A 13,418-nucleotide genomic window follows, 5' to 3' on the forward strand; every position below is an offset into this window, starting at 1 on the left:
GCTTTCAGATTTTAACATGGCTTTCTATGTATAACAAACCAACTTTTCCTCCCTGAACTTGTGGAGAATGAGGTCTCTGGGTGTGCTTGTATTTACAAATGAGTTTGCTAAGCTTTGACTTCATAAGAAGACAAGGTTAATTAGGAGCTAGACTGTGGATCTTAAATTTATCGGCAGGCTAAGTAGCTGGTGACTGCCCCAATCAGAGTCAGCTTCCAGGAAATGAAACGGGACTTATTTACATTTAGAGTGATGCCCAGCTTCTTAATCACCTCAAAGCATTTACAGATTAACTTTACTACCAGCAGTTCAAGAGGTAGAATGAACCCTGGGAGGGCATGTGCTTCTCTGTCTCCCTCTTCTTCTGGAGCTGCCAATTCCTTATTTCAGCCTGTGTTCCTTGCCTGTATCTTTTTGCTAAACCCTGGAAAGTTTCTTTCTGATGCTGTTCTGTGAAATGTTCTGTGAAATAATCTGTGGTTTATTTGGTAAGCCTCCTGATAAAGCAGTTTTCTAAAACCTTACCAGAATTGCTAAGGATCACCAGCATGGCCTGGTATATGTGCACAATATAAGGCAGAAATCATTCTGGTAAACTTTCTTTGATAGAAAATATTTCTATTAAATTGTTGGGTTATTATGGATTGCACATGCTGGATAACAGAGGTGACCCCAGGCTTCTCACGTGGCTCTGTGGTTGCTTATAAATGAACACTAGTAAGGATTAGATAAATTTTTGATTAGAAATTTCTAGTTAGCCAATAAAAGTGACCAGAGCAGTTAGGATGATAGCTACATATATCAGTGGCAGTTTCAGTCACATTTTAGTTTAACACAATCTCCAATTCAATTTGAAATTTTTATTATGGTATTTTAATCTGCAGTCTCTAATTACTTTACAGTTTCTCAGCAGAGAATAAGAGTTGCTGGTGGGCTGTGAGTGATAATAATACCTTCCCTGCCTTATCCAAAGAACTGCTGTAAAGATTTATAAGATTTTTTTTTTGTCAACTGAAAGGAGTTGTGCAAATATAAGCTATCGTGACATTCCATTCTTTACTATTTTAATAACATATTTACCCATATTTTTGTTTTAGTTTTAAAAATTGAAACTACATAAAATGCTACCTCTTTAAAATCATTATGGTTTTTTCTTTATGCAATAAGCTACTACGCAAAATCTTTAAAGAAAACTGTCTTCTAGAAGGAATTAATGAAAAAAATGGTCCCATTTGGTGCATTGTCAAGAGTACCTTTTTGGTTATAGAGCAAAGAATGGAATATTTATTTGCATTTAAAGGGTGCGTATGCCTTATATGTAGAAATCCAATACACTAGGAATTTGGATAGGATGGAGACCCTTCCTTCTTGCTAAATGACAGCAGCTATGAGTCCAAGAAATAGGTTTTTGGGGTTTCAACTTTGACTATAGAAGTCAGTTGCTTATTTCAGCAAAATGTGGTACACTTGGGTTCTAAGAGCCAATTCTTAAAAAATGAGCAGCAGCCAGCGAGTCTGGCTTTGTATCTTCATTATAGGCAGAACGTTCTATACTTTACTGTTCGTATTGTGCCACGTCTGCTGGAGGAAGATTGGCGGCTACACCTCTTGGGCTTTCCCATAACAAGATGTTCATCTCTGGAGGCTATCCCGGAGAGCCAACTGCACATAAATCCATTCTAATTAAATATGCCACTCTCCAGGGGTAGATGCCTTCGTTACAGGACTTATTTCAGGGGAATACAGATATGTGCATACCGATATTTTAGCTATAGACACAGGAGTCTGTTTGCAAGCAAGGGAATATACCATCCCCCTCTTTTCCCTCTCATCTTACATCTTGCTATCTAGAGACTCACGCAAAACAAATCCCTTGGGATTGCACTTACTTTCAGATATGTGAAGTTAAGCCCTTCTCAGACACACACATCTTTCCATTACATGTACAATGAGAAGCTTTCTGTAACTCCAAATCCAGTGGTGCCATTTCCTAATTGAGGCACCTGGCCCAATTAGGAATAAATGAGTACTTGCTGAAGAGAAAGTTAATGAGCAGTTAGTTAGAGCCACAACCAAGAAGGATTTCTTTAAAAAAAAAAAAAAAATATATATATATATATATATATATATATATATATATATATATATATATAGTCCAGAGAAGAAATGTGAGCCTACAAATAAGTGGTCATCCTTTTGCTTGTTTTTAAAAATGAAATATTGTCTGAACTGAGGTGTCAAGTCTTATAAAACAAAGTTACACTCAAACCCCAGACTGACTCATTAACCAGACTCAGCCTTGGAAATAGCGAGGTAAAAGAGGATTCCGGAAGCACATTTCATGCTTGGAAACAGTGTTGCCACCTTCCTCTCCCACTCCCTGCCTCCCATTTCTCCTGGGAAGGTATCACCGGCAACAAGTGGCAAGAATATTCAGGTCAGGTTGGTTTCTGTTTTACCTCCATTGCACCACCAGTGAAGAAGAGTGAGACACTGAGACACTTGAAAAGCCATGTCAGGCTGGGCACGGTGGCTCACGCCTGTAATCCTAGCACTTTGGGAGGCCGAGGTGGGTGGATCACCTGAGGTCGGGAATTCGAGACCAGCCTGACCAACATGGAGAAACCTCATCTCTACTAAAAATACAAAATTAGCTGGGTGTGGTGGTGGGTGCCTGTAATCCCAGCTACTTGGGAGGCTGAGGCAGGAGAATCGCTTGAACCTGGGAGGTGGAGGTTGTGGTGAGCCGAGATGGCACCATTGCACTCCAGCCTTGGCAACAAGAGTGAAACTCCATCTCATAAAAAAAAAAAGAAAAGAAAAGCCATGTCACCTTCTACCCCAAGGATTTAGCTGTTGTAGGACACCAGGTACCTGACAAGAGAGAAACGAACCACGAGGCACACATGTTTAAAACGTCTACATGTAATCATACTCAAGACTTTTGGGCAAGTGCTCAAAAGCAGACTTTGACTTTTACATGGAGAAAAATTTACCTTTTAAAATATATTTCTATGCCAAAAACAATCACAACAAAAGCAAAAACTGACAAATGGATCTAGTTAGACTTAAGAACTTCTGCACAGCAAAAGAAACTATCAACAGAGTAAATGGAAACTATACAGAATGCAAGGAAATATTTGGAAACTATGCATCTATAAGGAATTTAAACAAATTTATGAGATTAAAATAAGTAACCCCATTACGAAGTGGGCAAAGGACATGAACAGACACTTTTCAAAAGTAGATATACACACAGCCAACAAGCATATGAAAAAAAGCTCAATATCATTGATCATGAGAGTAACGCAAATCAAGAGCACAATGAGATGCCATCTCAAACTTGTTAGAATGGCTATTACTGAACAGGCAAAAAATAACAGGTGCTGGTGAGGTTGTGGAGAAAAGGGAACACTTAAACACTGTTGGTGGGAGTATAAATTAGTTCAACAATTGTGAAAGACAGTGTGGCGAATCCTCAAAGAGCTAAAAATAAAACTACCATTCAACCCAGCAATACCATTACTGGGTATATACCAAAAGGAGTATAAGTCATTCTACTATAAAGACACATGCACACAAATGTTCACTGCAGCACTATTCACAATAGCCAAGACATGGAATCAACCTAAACGCCCATCAATAGCACACTGGATAAATAAGACATGGTGCATGTACACCACGGAATACTATGCAGCCATGAAAAAAAAAATCAGATCATGTCCTTTGCAGGAATATGGATGAAACTGGAGGCCATTATTCTAAGCAAACTAATGTGGGAACAGAAAATCAAATACCACATCTTCTCACTTATTAGTGGGAGCTAAATAACGAGAACACATGGAAATAGAGATGGGAACAACAGACACTGGGCCTACTTAAGGGTGGAGGTTGCGAGGAGAGAGAAGATCAGAAAAAAATGCCTACTGGGTACTATGCTTAGTACATAGGTGATGAAAGAATCTGTACACCAAACCCCCATAACATGAGTTTACCTATGTAACAAACCTGCACATGTACCCCTGAACCTAAAATAAAAGATTAAAAAAAAATTAAAAAGTCAATTCACATCAGAGTGCTATGTATTTTATGATTCCATTTGTGTGCCATTCTGGATAACACAGAATCAGGATACAGATCACTGGTTGCGTTGGGCTGGAGGTGGGGAAGGGGAATTGACTATAGTGAGGCACAAGAGAACTGATAATATGTGGTATATCAAAGTCTGTCTTTAAGAGAACATTCTGAGCTAATGGAATCCTTCTACGTACTTGTGGTGGTGGTTACAGAACTTTATATTTTCAAAACTCATGGAACTGTACACCTAAAAGGGGTAAATTTTACTGTATGTTAATTATATATCAATATACCTGACTTTAAAAAATAAAAATAAATAAAATATCTTATTAAATGTCTAGGTTTTCAAATAAATATAAATTATATTAGAGGAATTTACACTCAGGTGAGGAAAAAAACATTGTTCTGATGACACCTGAGAAAGGAGCTTAGTCAAATGTCCATTTCATAGCATGTAGACCTGCTGCTATAGTATTTTTCTGTTGCTATGAAAGTTATCACTAATTTATTTGCCCCACATTGATGATCTGCCTGCTCTTATGTATTCAGATGGTGTGCAAATTCTCTGAAGTTTTCCCTTGAGACAGTATCCAGAAACTTGTGGTGAAATTGGACATTCCTACCTTGGTATTCTCATGTTGAGATTTGCTTGCCTCACTAAGGGGCCTTCCTTTTGGTCGACAGGGCTGATATTTCTGGGTTCCTGACAATGAGAATGTGTGCAGAAAGTCTATTTCAAATTGGGACAATGACCTTTTAGTCTCACGTGCACTTTTACTTTTCTTTTTAAAAATATTTTACTTGAACTTTGGGAATAATACCCTTTGTTCTCAATTAAAATAGTTTCCTGCAAGAATTTCTATCTCTGAGTAAGAAGCAAGTCAAGACGAAAATAATCCATGTGAAATGACTTCCTGAGAAATGACTTTTGAGAAAGATTTTTAACCAATACTCCACGGGATCACTGAATTTCTTTTGATTTATTGATGGTGTATTGTAAATATGACACCCTGCCCTAACATGATAATGACATGTCTTCCTTTCTCCGATAATATGTGATATATTAAAGTCTGTCTTTAAAATCTGCATTTTGAATTTTGGGAGGGTACTCTGTGTGCTTTTTTTGAAGTGCTTGGCCTAATATTTATGTTGCATATTCTAAGATAAAGACAGCAAAATTGGCTTGGCTGACGATGGAGCGTAAGTATGAGTATAAACATGTTTTCCAAATGATGACAACACTGAATATCATGAGAGTTTAGTCAGTGGAACTACAGGAGAATGTTAGGAATGAAGTCTTGACCACACACAGCACACATGCCCTTTACCAACGGGGTATGGAGAACACAGAGCTCTGATAACAATACTTGTTTAGGGTCTCCCAACCCCGCCTTTGTCTAAGGGACTAAGCGTGTACCTAAGTCTTCTTGGTAGTAAGTATATATGGATGATTAGAAGCAAACATTGGTTTCAGAAGCAATGCATCACATATTGAAGTTGCAGCTGGCTTGATAGAAAAGTTATGAAAAAAATATGGAACTAAATTCCAGCAATTGCATTCTAAGCTGTGCCCTGCCAGGTGACACAGACTGGGGACACTTTTTAATCAAGTCAGAAATTACCTTAGTGAAGGGAAGCAAGGAAGAAAATGATTTAAAAGGAAATATGGTTCTTATTCTTGAGAATCTTAGAGTCTAATGAGGAGATGAAACAGACTTGATGGTGTAAGAACATGATCAAACAATGTCAGTAAATGAAAATACACTTAATGATTACCTAAAATTTATTCTAAGTTTTTTTTTTTTTTTTTTTTTTTTTGAGACAGAGTCTTGCACTGTCGCCCAGGCTGGAGTGCAGTGGCGTGATCTTGGCTCACTGCAATCTCCATCTCCCGGGTTCAAGGTCCCGAATAGCTGGGATTACAGGGACATGCCACCATACCTGGCTATTTTTGTATTTTTAGTAGAGATGAGGTTTCACCATGTTGGCAGGCTGGTCTTGAACTCCTGACCTCAAGTGATCTGTCTCTCAAAGTGTTGAGATTACAGGTGTGAGCCACTGCGCCCAGCCTATCCTAATCTCTTCATGTAAAAAAGACTGTCTTCCCACTCTAGCAGAGGAAGTCCATGTTGTGCAACCCCTGTGGCTCTCAAAGGTACTTGAGGCTGGATCTGAGAGCCAAGTGGACTCTCATTTTGTCCCCACTTCTTGCTAGCTAGATGGATTTAGGGAAAATTTCTTAAATGTTCTAAGCTTCAGGTTTTTTTTTTTTTTCTCTAAAATGGAACTAAAATGAATAGTCTCTCTTTCATAGGTTTTCATAAGCATTTGCAGACCGTAAGGCTACACGCAGAGGACACACATCCTTGCCTCCTCTCCAAGACTAAGTGGGGACTAGTGGTTCTGGGCTGGGGTGATCAGAGCTTCCAAGGAGAATCAAGCTTCCACATCTTCACCCACACCAGCTGCAAAAGGGAGGGCTATCCAGTTAGCTGGTTGAAGCATCGCTCTCATAAAGTAACTGCTTCCCCTTGCAGGATGCTGCATGGAACATCTCCAGCCCCAACCTGGAGGAGGACAAGAGGAGAGGCTGTCAAAGCGAAGACAATTCTGCCTGTTGGCAGACGCCCTGGCCCCAGTTTGTATCTTGCCTCTTCAGTCATCACTGCTAGGATGTTTGGCCATGAGAATAGGAAACGTCAGTGAGTCCCGCTACGAAGCCACTTGAGAATCATGAACCCATGGCCAGGAAAGGATAAATTGTGGGGCTTAAGCTAGAATTCCAACAAGCTCCAGGAAGGTCTGTCCCAAGGCTCCTGTTCTAGCATCAGTAGTTGGCTCTGCTTTCAGGGGAAAATGCTGTGGATGACACTCTTCCTTGTGGCTTTGGGGCATGAAGTGCCTGTCGGCTCCTCCAGGTCCTGGGAAGGATTCCCCCACCACCCCTTAGGGGATCCTCCTGCCTGACACTGATCTTGAAACCCGACTTATCTAAGACCTTATTCTTGCATGAAGTTGCCTGATATAAACTCTTCTTACTTCCCCCACCCCCACATTCTTAGACTTATTTCAAAGTTGTAATCATTACTTATTTTAGAATAAAAGTTAGTGCAGCTAAGAGTGCTAATGTCTCCCAACTGTGAACCAAGGAAAGCAATGCCAGATAGCAGCACTGACTTAGTTTAGGATGTAGGAGCCCAGACCATGCAGAAAGTCTGCTCTCACAACAGAGGCGTGATGAATACTCCTGCCGGGGTCTACAGAGCTCTTCTTCTTCCTGTGTGTGTGTGTGTGTGTGTGTGTGTGTGTGTGTTTGTTTGTTTGTTTGTTTTTTGTTGAGACGGAGTTTCACTCTTGTTGCCCAGGCTGGAGTACAGTGGCACCATCTCGGCTCACTGCAACCTCCACCTCCCGGGTTCAAGCAATTCTCCTGCCTCAGTCTCCTGAGTAGCTGAGATTACAGACATGCACCACCACGCCTGGCTAATTTTATATTTTTAGTAGAGACGTGGTTTCTCCATGTTGGACAGGCTGGTCTTGAACTCCCGACCTCAGGTAATCCACCCGCCTTGGCCTCCCAAAGTGGGATTACAGGCATGAGCCACCTCACTCAGCCAAACCTGCCTTCTTCCCCGGTTAAATGACAAGATGGGGTGGCAGAGGAGAAGCTGTGGGTCCGGATTGTGGCAGGTGGGTAGGCTGTCGGGAGCAGGACCAGGACTGTGTTTAGGGGGATGTCCCAAATTGAGTGGCAGCCTTATTTTGGGGAAAAAAATTCTTAAAACTCACCCCATAATAGTCTCCCTCCGATAAGCAGCTGTCCCCTGGAGGCATCAGAAAGCTGCACAACAAAGCCGTCTGGCTCAGTTTTGCAGTGGTCTAACTTCAGTGTGCGTGAGACATCTTCTCCCACTGTTTGTTTCTTCTCTCGCTCACTCTGGTTAAATGATAGATAAATCAGCTTGGCAGGAACATTATGTTTCTATTCATTTGCTGGAGTGCTGGGCCCACAGAGCAGCCTTGATAGTGTTCAACGCTAATACCGTGACGATCAGGCAAAGCCCTTGAGCCAGGGGTGGCATTTGGAGAAAACAGTGGGAAGGAGGGCTCTGTAAATAAGTACAAGCTTGGGCACATTGCTCACCTTTGCCATTAAGTGGCTTCCAAAATAGACTGTATCCTGCGAGGGATTTGAATGGAGACATTCTTCCTGAGCGGGAAAGTATGTGCAAATTGTAGTGAGATCAAGCTGCAAGGACAGGAAATCGCAAGCAGGGGAGCCGACAGAGTGGCAGCGGATGAGCAGGCTGACGGAGTGACACAGCCCAGGGGCAGCATGGACGCTGCCAGCATAATTATCCCCGGACCTCATCACCATAGCCAGCTTGGCACCTGGGCCGTGGCTGCAGATGGAGGATGGAACGCAGCCAGCCGGCTGGATACTACCTTTCCAGGGCTGTCCTGGGTGCTTTGTTTGTTCTCATACTGGGAGGAGAGATGGTGGCTTTTGTTAACCAAAACACAAGATAGGAAAATCATATTTTTTAAAACGTTTAATTTTTCTTTTCGCTTTCTTTTTTGAGATGGAGTCTTGCTTTGTCACCCAGGCTGGAGTGCAGTGGCGCGATCTCGGCTCACTGCAAGCTTCACCTCCCGGGTTCAAGCAATTCTCCTGTCTCAGCCTCCCAAGTAGCTAGGACTACAGGCGCCCGCCACCACACCCGGCTCATTTTTTGTATTTTTAGTAGAGATGGGGTTTCACCGTGTTAGCCAGGATGGTCTCGATCTCCTGACCTCGTGATCCGCCCACCTCAGCCTCCCGAAGTACTGGGATTACGGGCGTGAGCCACTGTGCCCGGCAAAACATTTAATTTTTATGGGCACATGATAGGTGTATATATTTATGGGGTACATGAGATATTTCAATACAGGCATACAATGCATAATAATTACATCAGGGTAAATGGGGTATCCATCTCCTCAAGCATTTATCATCTCTTTATGTTACAAACATTCCAATTATACTCTTTTTGTTACTTTTAAAAATACAAAAAATTGTTGACTGTAGTCACCCTGTTGTGCTATCAAATATTAGATTTTACTCCTTCTGTCCAACTATATTTTGTATCCATTAGCTATTCCTCCCAGCCCCACCCCACTACCCTTCCTAGCCTCTGGTAACCATCTTTCTATTCTCCCCATGAATTCAGTTGTTCTTAATTTTTAGCTTGCACAAATGAGTGAGAACATGCAAAGTTTGTCTTTCTGTGCCTGGTTTATTTCACCTAACACAGTGACCTCCAGTTCCATCCATGTTGTTGTAAATGACAGGATCTCATTCTTTTCGATGGCTGAATAGTACTTTACTGTGCACATGAATCACATTTTCTTTATCCATTCATCTGTTCATGGACACTTAGTTTGCTTCCAAATCTTGGCTATTGTGTCTTGTACTGTGAAAAATAATAATTTTTACAGTAGATCATGTTCTATTAGCTGTGATTAGCTGTGAAAGCAGACTTGCCGCCATTAGAAAATAGTCAGTCATTCAAAAATGCCTATTTGCACCCTCTAACCTGCCCAGTACAGTAGTTTGAGTCATTGCCCTTGGGAATTTAAAAGGCCACACACTGAGAATGCCAGTCCCCAGGGACTTAGGGTGAATTTCTCCAAAGACGTGTGTGTGTGTGTGTGTGTGTGTGTGTGTGTGTGTGTGTACATGTTCTCCCCAGGGTACTGACCCCAGATAGCCCACAGTGCTGTGGGCACCTCAGCATGGCTTGGGCAATAACAGAAAAAACAGGAGGGCAGACACGGCTTCTGTTGTGGGAGCCAAGGACACTGGAACCCTGCAGTCCCTGGCAAAGCCCCCTTTCTTCCTACCTTCCTTAGAGACCTCTGGATTTCACAGTCCCAAGAGCCCCTTCCTGTGGCTGCCTGGCCACAGGAGGGACTTCAGGGAGGGAGTGAAAGACAGCTGTGCACAGCGCCTGATTGGTGACAGGTTTCCTGGTTTATGGGGTGGGTAGAGGATTCCCACCTCATGATGTGGTGGGGAGGGGTGCATGGCAGGGCTTGCAGTAGAGTTTGCAGCATGGGGTCTGCCCCTGGGTTCCTGGCCTGCCAGTACCCAGCTCCCGGGCCCACTGAACCCAGCTCTGGCCAAGTTTCTCCGTGGAGGAACCCATGGATGATGGATCATGGAGGCCAATTGTCTCCATGACTTGAGGATCCACTGAAGCACAGGTGGTCTTCCGAGGCCTTCAGAGTCTGGGTTCTTCTAGCCCTTGCCTATAGCTGCCTCGCTTCAGTTTATGCTGCAGTAGATAATAATTCCTTGCCTTTGAAGGGAGAGTATTTCAGAATTTTCAAAATCTGCTTGCACAAGTCATTTGATCTTCATGGCTAGCTTTTATGGGGGATATTATTTTAAAGATGGAGATACCAAGTCAGGGAGAAAAGAGAGAACTTCATTCACGTATTTGATGTGGACGAGTTATGACCTGAACCCAGGCTGGTAAGTGCCAGCCCTGTGCTGCTGCCCCGGAAGGGCCTGGAAACCATGAGACCCCATAGTGCAGTGCGGTGGTAAGGTCTGGGCCCTGTAGCCAGGCTGCCTACCACCGACTAGCCATTCATCTGAGACAAGCACGTTCATCTCTGCGCCTCAGCCTCTGCATAAAATGGGACTAGCACCCACCTCATAAGGTTGCATTAACACATGCTTGTTAGTACAAGTTTGTGTCTATAACGATAGCCATTCTCTTTTGGTGCTTATTACGTACCTGGCACTGTGCTTTGCACTTTATGGCATTCATTCATTTAATCATCACAATAACCTTAGGGGATAGATACGCCTTATTTTCCCATTTCAGAGATGAAGAGACTGAGGCGGAGAGAGACAAAGTCGTTTCATAACAGCAGGAAGACCAAGGACCATGCTCTCTTGATCACAACACCAGGCTTCTTTTAAAACAAAGGTTGGCTCCCAGTAAATACTAACAAAATGTTGGCTGTAGCTGGGCGCGGTGGCTCACGCCTGTAATCCCAGCACTTTGGAAGGCCGAGGTGGGTGAATCAGCTGAGGTTAGGAGTTCCAGACCAGCCTGGCCAACATGGTGAAACCCTGTCTCTACTAAAAATACAAAAATTAGCTGGGTGTGGTGGTGGGTGCCTGTAATCCCAGCTACTTGGGAGGCTGAGGCAGGAGAACCACTTGAACCTGGGGGGCAGAGGTTGCAGTGAGCCGAGATCGCGCCATTGCACTCTAGCCTGGGCAACAGAGAGAGACTCTATCTCAAAAAAAAAAAAAAAAAAAAAGTAGGCTGCTTTTGCTATTGGGGTAGTTGTCAATGTGGGGTGGTATGATATCCAGGCCCCACTATCCCAGACACCTCCTCTGCAAGTTAGTTCCCGGTAGCCGGAACACCATAATCAAGACTTCAGTTTGGCTGAACAGAACTTTTGTCCATGTTAAAATGCAAAGTCCCCCTGGGAAGGCTTCCATTAAACCTGAACTTGCTTCGAAGCCCTGGCATCAGTGAGTTCTGAGGCTGTGTCTGGGGAAGTTTGATGGAGGAGAGAGAGAGAGAGCCTGACCATACTGCTTGGAGTGGTAATGAGGGATAGCTCTGCTGGTGGAAATGTGGCAGAATGAGGTAGAAATCATGTAAAAAGGAAGGATGAGGACTCGTCTATCTTACACCTTTTCCCAGCTGTTAAAATGATCTGTATCGCATAGGACCTCATTAGAGTTCATTCTTGGAGCACTTTTTTCATGAATTGTTTTAGGGCTGTTATGTGTTGGGAATCACAGACTAATAGGGCTTCTTTGACAGATGAGGAATTCAAAGTATGGCTAGGTCACACCGCTAGGCAGTAAAAAATCCAGAGCCAGCACCTTAGAATCCTGCCTCTCTGTATGAATACCATTTATTTTCCTATTCTCTGATAAGCTTTACAAGAAGCTATCGTATATGACCTTTGCAATAAATTTTAAAATTTCAATGTTGATTTTTCTTCTCGGCCTCAGCTTAGCAGTAAGGGTGAGGAGTTCTTCCTTGCTGGTTTTGGCACCAAGGCTGAGACTTTCTGGTAGAGGGCTTGTCATTTAATGTGTAGTTTCCAATCTCCTCTCCTGAAACCCAGGTTTAATGATGCTTCCCTGCCTTCCAGGTATGTAGTGAGGGTTAATTAGATGATGCTTGCATAGGGCTTTGAAGATGAAAGCACCATGTAATTGTTATTACATATCATCTCCTCCAGAAACCAGGAATGCTTCTACTTCAGGGAACACTTGAACGTGTCTCCACTTGTATCGTTCACTTTAGGATAAAACTTGTCAGGCATCAGTGAACTAATGATACTGTGTAGCGCGCTGGGGATCAAACAATCCAAACAAATGAACACTCAGAACTCCTTGGATCACCGGGAAGCCGCTGTCGGTGGGCTTGGTGATGGAATGAGCCCACCAATTCAGCAGAAAGCTGCTGGGAAGTTTTCCCCATAACTGGGTCCCCAGCATGAGAAAACATGAGTTATTAAGAGAATGTCATGGCTCCAGAGACCAGAAAGTGCTGGAACAGACAGGAGAGGCACTATGTGACATTTTGGAGGAGCTGGGGCAGGTCATGGGAGAGGAGGGTAGCAGAGTGAAAGACGTTTCTTACAGTGTTTGAAAATTATTTCAAGAGCCTCCTGATGGGTCTCCCTTCCGGTGGTCTGATTTCAACACACCAGTCCATGTTCCTTCCACTGCCAGGCTAACTGTACTTCCATCAACCTTCAGGGCCTTCCTCTTGCCAAGAAAATAAAGTCTAGTTCTTTTAAAGCCATGCTATGGCCTTGCTGTGACTCTCGATTTTCTGCCTCTTGTTGATTTTCCTTCATGCTCCTCTTCCCTGCATGAGAGCTCTCTTCCCTACCAGCTCATGCTGCCCCATCATACTCAGACTAACATGCCTTTCCCACCCTGCACCTTTACCACATGAATCCTTGACATTAGCCCAGCTGCTTTGTCCCTGCTGATTCTTTCCCTGATTCTGCAGCTCCCAAGAGCACCCTCCTTTTAGTCAGTTCTGTTTGCTGTTCATTTACTTAGCATTTATCTACATTTTGTTATATTGGCATGTATCTGTTAATATGAATCTTTTCCTATTTGCTATTTGGACTGAAAAATCAGGGAGACCAGGGCACTGTTTCTTATATTCATGCAGAGTACTCCGTGGGAAAGTTTTTTTTAGAGTTGGGGTCTCATTCTGTTACCCAGGCTGGAGTGCAGTGGTGTGATCGTGACTCACTACAGCCTTGAACTCCAGGATCAAGCAATCCTCCCTCCTCAG

The 13,418-nt window shown here is 43.1% G+C and overlaps 1 long non-coding RNA gene across 1 annotated transcript; it reads right to left on the bottom strand.

The window, feature by feature from the left end:
- Positions 1-6,352: 6,352 nt before the first annotated feature.
- Positions 6,353-8,025, bottom strand: LINC02630 (long intergenic non-protein coding RNA 2630). The gene is made up of 2 exons (XR_930822.3): positions 7,867-8,025; positions 6,353-6,644 (listed from the first exon to the last, which is right to left on the bottom strand). It is a non-coding gene; the product is annotated as a long intergenic non-protein coding RNA 2630 (long non-coding RNA).
- Positions 8,026-13,418: the final 5,393 nt, after the last annotated feature.

This window comes from Homo sapiens, chromosome 10 (assembly GCF_000001405.40).
Source record: "Homo sapiens chromosome 10, GRCh38.p14 Primary Assembly".
Taxonomy (NCBI): Eukaryota; Metazoa; Chordata; class Mammalia; order Primates; family Hominidae; genus Homo; species Homo sapiens.